General features: G+C 40.5%; 1 annotated feature.

Moving 5' to 3' along the window:
• Window positions 2,014–2,514: an enhancer, noted in NCBI's record as "H3K27ac hESC enhancer chr17:51707755-51708255 (GRCh37/hg19 assembly coordinates)". NCBI's record gives its function as "activates a minimal SCP1, AML or CMV promoter by ChIP-STARR-seq in primed H9 embryonic stem cells {active_cell/tissue: H9 hESC(primed)}" and the evidence as "EXISTENCE:reporter gene assay evidence [ECO:0000049][PMID:30033119]".

Raw genomic sequence — 4,920 nt, forward strand, 5'->3', positions numbered from 1 at the left:
TTCTGTGAATTCAACATTTTTAGATTCCACGTATAAGTGAGATAACACAGTATTTGTCTTTCTGTTCCTGGCTTATTTCACTTAACATTGTGTCTTTCAGGTTTAACCATGTTGTCACAAATGATATTATTTCCTTCTGTTTTAAGGCTGAATATTATTTTATTGCATAAATTAGGTTGGTGCAAAAGTTCTCTGGTCATGGCAAAAACCAAAATTGCTTTTGCACCAACTGAATATAAACTCCGTTTTTTAAATCCTTTCACTGATGGATAGACATTTAGGTTGATTCCATGTTTTGGCTATCATGAAAATGCTACAATGAACATGGGGATGCAGATAATATGTCTTTGGTACACTAATTTCATTGTTTCAAATATATACTAATTAGTGGAATTCCTGGATTATGATTACTGTTTTACGCTATTGTCTTTTAAATTAGTTAGTACAGAGATTTCAAGTTTGGAAGTTAACCGGAACCATTTTTCTAAGGGTAAATGTTTCAGCACGGGCCATAATAGCAGGCAATCTAGCACATTGCCTCCATTAAAGAAGCCTTGCCCAAAGGCAACCATTATAGTCTTTCTGGAGACCCATTTTTTCGGGGAGCCAAGCAGGTCACACAAGTCTAGGAAATCAAAGGGAAATCACAGGCAGAGAACTACAGCTGGCTGGGTGAGCGTGACGAGCCCCAAAAGCTCAGTTTCTCTGGTGCCATGGCTTGGAGGGTCACACCTACAACCATGGGCGGCACATTTAACAGGATGCTGCAACCCAGGAACCAAGGAGGGAAAACAATCCGGGGACACTCCTACTGTCTTCTTCTCCACCCTGGGTCACATACTGAAAGGAAGGCAACTAAAAGGATGCTTTTATTCTCACTTCTTTTTCTAGATGAATAACAGATTGTCTTCAGCTTGCACCCCTCTGGAGTGCACTCTGAAACACTGGAACTTCTTTAACCTCAGGAGTTTGAAGATAAAAGTGACTCATTTTCTTTTACACAAGGGTATGGAATTTTTACTAAACCTTTGCAAGCATTGTAAGACCAGCTCTTTTATCAATCATATCAGGAAGGCCCAAAGATAATAATTCCTCCAAATTACAAAAGCAACCTCCATGGGAACCATCTGCAGCTCCTTATTTGGGGCCTCTTCAAGCTCCTTTCTCGTTTCAGGACCTTAGGCAAATAAAAGGAAACTTAGGCCAATTTTCTGACAACCCTGATAGATATATAGAAGCTTTCCAGAATTTAACTCAGGTGTTTCACCTCATGTGGAAGTATGTTATGCTGCTCCTGAACTAAATCCTAAGAGCAACTGAAAAACAGAAAGATCTGCAGGCAGCAGACAACTCTGGAGATGAGCAACATATGTTCTATAATACACCAAAAGCAAGGAAATGTGACGGGGAATTGCAGAAACACCATTCCCAATTGAAAGAGAAGCAGTTGCTCTTGACAACCCTAATTGGGACCCCAGTAGCTCTGCAGATGAATGGAAAAGAAAGCACGTTTTAATATGCGTTTTAGAGGGGCTACAAAGAACTAAGGCCAGACCTCTCAATTCTAAATTGAGTTGGTCTAATTGTAAATTTGGTTTGTCTATGATAAACCAAAAGCCAGAGAAGAATCCTGTAGCCTTTGTGGAAAGGCTGAGGGAGGCACTGATAGAGTACACCTCCTTAACCCCTGACTCAGTTGAGGGGCTGCTTATTCTAAAAGACAAGTTTATTACACAGGCAGCTTCTGATATTAGAAGGAAACTATAGAAGCAAGCTATAGGACCAGATAGTACCTTAGAGAGCCTCCTGAGGGTGGCCACTTCAATCTTTTATAATAGGGACCAGGAGGAGGCCCAAAAGAGGGAATGCTCAGGAGAAGAACAAAGGCTATAGCAGCTGCTTTGCAGGCTTGCAAATTCCAGGATCCACTAGGTGCATCCGCTAGTTGCTATCCGTGTGACAAGCCAGGGCATTTTAAGAAGGAATGCCCAAACAGCAAGAGGAAGCCACCTCAACCCTGTCCAGCCTATGGTGGAGGCCACCGGAAATCAAACTGCCCCCAGAGACAAAGTTCACTGTGTTTAGAACCAGTCTCACAGAGGGTCTGATGGGTCCTGGGGCTCAAACACTGGCTCCAGAGTAGCAAACTGCCATTATAGCGCAAGAGCCCTGGGTGATTATGGAAATTAAAGGAAGGAAAGTAAACTACCTTCTAAACACTAGAGCCAGTCTCCCTCTTTTCTCTTGTCTAATCCAGGGCTCCCCTTTTCCCACAGCACAACCTTGTAAGGGGTATCTCAGGAAAAACTCTAATCCAATATTTTTCTAAACCTCTTAGTTGCAGTTAGGAGGACCTATTGTTTCCAAACCACTTCCACAATAGATTCACTGGTCAGAAAAGCCTCCAAATTAACTTTAACTCTTTACACCCCACATAATATGGCAAGATTACTGCCTTCTAGGGGGAGCTCTTAGCTAACAAACAGCCAGTAAAGCAAGAAATACATAAGGTAGGATAAACAGTAGTTACTCTAAATAACATCTCTCCCCACACACAAGTGCTCAATTAGCTGAACTAATAGCTCTTACAAGAGCACCGAAATTAAGCAAGGGAAAGGTAGCTAACACTTATACTAACTGGAAGTATGCTTTCTTAGCTTTCCATGCTCATGCTGCCATTTAGAAGGAAAGACATTTTCTTATCACTAATGAATCGCCTATAAAATATCATCAGGGAATTAACAGGTTATTATCTTCAGTTTTTCTTCCATGAGAAATACCAGGGATTCATTGTAAGGAACATCAAAAGGAAACAAAGTAACCAAAGGAAATAGGTTAGCTAATCAGGCAGCTAAGTCAAAGGCAAGGAAGCCTCAAGGCATTAACACACTTCAAGCCCCTTCTAATCTAGGAAAGCTCCATAAGAGAAATTTAATCTCAGTATTCCCCTGCAGAAATAGAATAGGCCACTTCTTGAGGGCGTTCTTTCCAGCCTCACGATGGCTTCAGTCAGGATGGCAAACTCCATTTGTCAGCCCCTAGGCAACGGAAAGTCCTTAAAATCCTTCACCAACCTTTTCACTTTGGAAAGGATAAAACTTAGCAAAATGTTCAGAGATTGTTTTCAGGCAGAAAACCCCTAGTCGGTTAAGCATGTAACCTCACTAGCTCTCTTCCAACAGGAATTGACGCAACTAGCAGAAATCCAACCCCAGGAAATAGGATCACCTCTATTTAACTCAGGACATTTGGTTTTAGTGTAAGCTCATCTCTCTCTTTCCTTCCTTACACCGGTGGGAAGGGCCCCACACTGTTCTTCTTTCAACACCCTCAGCAGTAAAAGTTACAGGTATCAACTCCTGAATACATCACACTCAAGTCAAAGCCCAAACAGCTGAGGGAGCAACCCCTGGCAGCCCAGAGGAATGTCCTGAATATCAACACGAAGAAATAGATTTTAAGCTGAAAATCATAAAAGATAAGTAACTGAGTGAGGGCTACTCATCTTAGTCCCACTCCTACCTCACCAGATACTTTTTATCATTTCTACGTTTTCCTCAGGAATTCACTGCCAAATATTATAACTTCTTTTTAATGCATATTTGCAGGGAGATTTTAATTATTCATAGAATTGCATTTGTACTTTTGTAGATCCCCCAAAGGGAAATGTTATATCTTGGCAAGTAAAGTTTTTAACGGAAATTATTTACTACATCTCTTGTGGGAATTGTTATAGTCATACTACTATTTACAATAGAACTATACACTGTGACACCTACAATGTGGATTTCTGGCTATAAAATTCTAATTGCTGTAATATTTTGCCTAATCATCATCCTTATAACAGAATTAATAACTACAGGAAAAATTTAGTCAAGGTTGTTTTGCTTATAGCATTGGTAATAGTTACAGATAAGAAGTAAGCATGAAAGTTTTACTATCATTAAGTTTGATAGGACTTTTTATTAAAGATTGGTAATATGGCTCACTCTAAGCTATGGAAAGAAGGTTATAAAGAAAGTGATTTTATATAAGGAAGGATCTTGTATGGCAAATTTTTGTCCTAGAAGGAAATGACTGGTTGTTTAAAGGAAGGATATTTAGAACAAGTTAGAAAATTTGCGTATGTTGTACGAAGGTCAGTGAAAAATAATGAAATAATTTAATAATTAAAGGAAAGGAATTGGCAAGATTAACACTAAAGTTCTATTAGCCACCCAATGACATATTTCTCCCAATCATATTGCAAGTTATAAAAATCGCCTAAACCTAAAATTAAGGGGGAAATGTATGTTTTTCTCAAGGAAAATGTTGTTTATATTAACCTTTCTGGCAATGTACAGCGATATCTAGGGGAGGCAAACTGGTATTACAATCCGCTGGGATAACTAACAGGTATCAAACTCTACTGTCATAGTTATGGTCTATAGGACCCCCACTAACAGTGGTAATCTTTTTTTTTTTTTTTTTTTTTTTTTTTTTTTTTTTTGAGAGAGAGTCTCGCTCTGTAGCCCAGGCTGCAGTGCAGTGGCGCGATCTCTGCTCACTGCAACCTCCGCCTCCCGGGTTCACGCCATTCTCCTGCCTCAGCCACCCGAGTAGCTGGGACCACAGGCGCCCGCCACCACGCCCAGCTAATTTTTTGTATTTTTAGTAGAGACAGGGTTTCACCGTGTTAGCCAGGATGGTCTCGATCTCTTGACCTCGTGATCCGCCCGTCTCTGCCTCGCAAAGTGCTGGCATTACAGGCATGAGCCACCGCGCCCGGCCTACCAGTGGTAATCTTAATGCTCATATTCTAACCCTATCTTTCAAACCTCCTTGTAAAATTTATCTCTTTTCACGTAGACGCAATCAAACTACAAATGGCACTGCAAACCATGCATGTACACGCAATTCTTCCCAGAATGCTTTATCAAC

This window comes from Homo sapiens, chromosome 17 (assembly GCF_000001405.40).
Source record: "Homo sapiens chromosome 17, GRCh38.p14 Primary Assembly".
Lineage (NCBI taxonomy): Eukaryota > Metazoa > Chordata > Mammalia > Primates > Hominidae > Homo > Homo sapiens.